Source organism: Homo sapiens, chromosome 1, assembly GCF_000001405.40.
Source record: "Homo sapiens chromosome 1, GRCh38.p14 Primary Assembly".
Lineage (NCBI taxonomy): Eukaryota > Metazoa > Chordata > Mammalia > Primates > Hominidae > Homo > Homo sapiens.
The window spans coordinates 61,476,144-61,478,109 of NC_000001.11; the positions used below are offsets into that span (position 1 = coordinate 61,476,144).

Here is a 1,966-nt window from a genome sequence, read left to right on the forward strand (position 1 = left end):
TAATTAAGAAAAGCTCTGAATAACGTTAACACCACGGGAATAGGCTAAACTTTTAAAGAAAGTTTTGTCCTTTGGGAGTGAGTGGCCAGTACATGAACCATCAACTGAATTGTTGGTTACCTTAGCACCATTTTCAGAGTGTGGGGGGCATTCAGTGGGTGAGGGGAGAACATGACCCCTGAGGACACACACCCATGCCTGTTACACTGTGTGGGGGAAGTCCTGATCCTTCAGGAGCCCCCTACATGTTCAGTCAGGGCAAATCCTCAGTGATTCCACAGAGAGCCAGGGATGTGCCCTCAGCACAGCAAAAGGAAGTCAGAGATTCCTACTCTTGGCCCATTGTCCCCTTGAGTGAATTGAGCCTCATCATCTCCTGGGATGGAAAATACACAGGATCTGGACTTAACAGTGGTGTTTGGAGCTGAGAGGTTGTATTAGTCAGGGTTCTCCAGAGAAACAGAATCAAGAGGATAAATATATGTATTTGTATCTGGAAAGAGATAAGGTATGGGCTCATGCAATTATGGAGGCTAAGATGTCCTACCATCTACCGTCTGCAAGCAGAGACCCAGGAAAGCTGGTGGTGTAGTTCAACGGCCTGAGAGCCAGAGGCTGATGGTGGAGATTCCAGTCCAAGTCTGAGGGTCTGAAAACCAGGAGTGCCAGGGACGAGAGAAAATGGATGTCCCGGTTCAAGCCGTCAGGAAGATAGCTAATTCACCCCTCCTCTGCCCTCATGCTATTATACTACCCTCAACGGACCCTCAATGGATCAGATCATATCCACCCACGTTAGGGAGGGCCGTCTGCTTTACTAACTTTACAGTTCAAACGTAAACTGTTTCTCTTCTGGAAACACCCCCACAGACACAGCCAGGAATCCTGTTTAACCAGGTACCTGAGCATCCTGTGATCCAGTCAAGCTGACAAACATGAACTATCACAGAGGTAATACAGTAGTCCCCCCTTATCCATGGAGAATGGATTCCAAGACACCCCTCATCCCACCGTGGATGCCTGAGACCACGGAGAGTACCGACCCCTACAGACACTATGTTTTTTCCTGTACAGTAATGGGTGGGTAGCATCCACTGTGTGGATCTGCTGGACAAAGGGATAATTCACAGCCTGAGCAGGGTGATGTAGGATGGCTTGAGATTCTATCATGCCACTCAGAACAAGACACAATGTTAAACTTATGAATTGTTTATTTCTGGATTTTTTCATTTGATATTTTCATTCTGTGGTTGACCATGAGTAACTAAAACTGGGAAAAGTGAAACCCGTAGACAAGGGAGGACATTGCTAACTGGTTCAGCAGCCTTCAGGCGTCTCTTCTAGTAAGGTCACTAATCCCATCATGAGGGCCTTATCCTCAAGACTCCCTCTAACCCTAATTACCTCTAAAAGGCCCCATCGCCAAATACCGTTGCCCTGGGGGTTAGGACATCAGCATATGAATTGGGGAAGGCCCGAACACTCCACCGATAACAGTAACATGGTTTACATACAAAAATCAATTATATTTCTATGTAATGGTAATGAACAATTCGAATCTAATTTTTAAAGTACCATTTACAAGTACAAAAACGCTTAGGTATAAATCTAATAAAATATGGTTAGTATGTATATTCTGAAAACCCAAAACAATGATGAAAGAAATTAACTAAGACCTAAAAATGTGGATAAATACACCATATTCTTGGATTGGAAGACAATATTGTTAAGATGTCAATTCTCTACAAATTGATCTGTAGAGTCAAGTTGTTCATAATAGATATCTCAGGGCATTTTTTTGTAGATATCAACAATCTGATTTCAAGATTAATATTTTTAAAAATGCACTAGAAAAACCAAAAGATTTTTGAAAGAAAGGAACAAAGTTGGAGCACTCACACTATCTGATTTCAAGTCTTACTATAAAACTACAATAATCAAGAAGGTGCAGTATTGGCAAAAGAAT

General features: G+C 42.6%; 1 annotated feature.

Annotated features, from left to right (window-relative positions):
- Positions 1,161-1,675: an enhancer, noted in NCBI's record as "OCT4-NANOG hESC enhancer chr1:61942976-61943490 (GRCh37/hg19 assembly coordinates)". NCBI's record gives its function as "activates a minimal SCP1, AML or CMV promoter by ChIP-STARR-seq in primed H9 embryonic stem cells {active_cell/tissue: H9 hESC(primed)}" and the evidence as "EXISTENCE:reporter gene assay evidence [ECO:0000049][PMID:30033119]".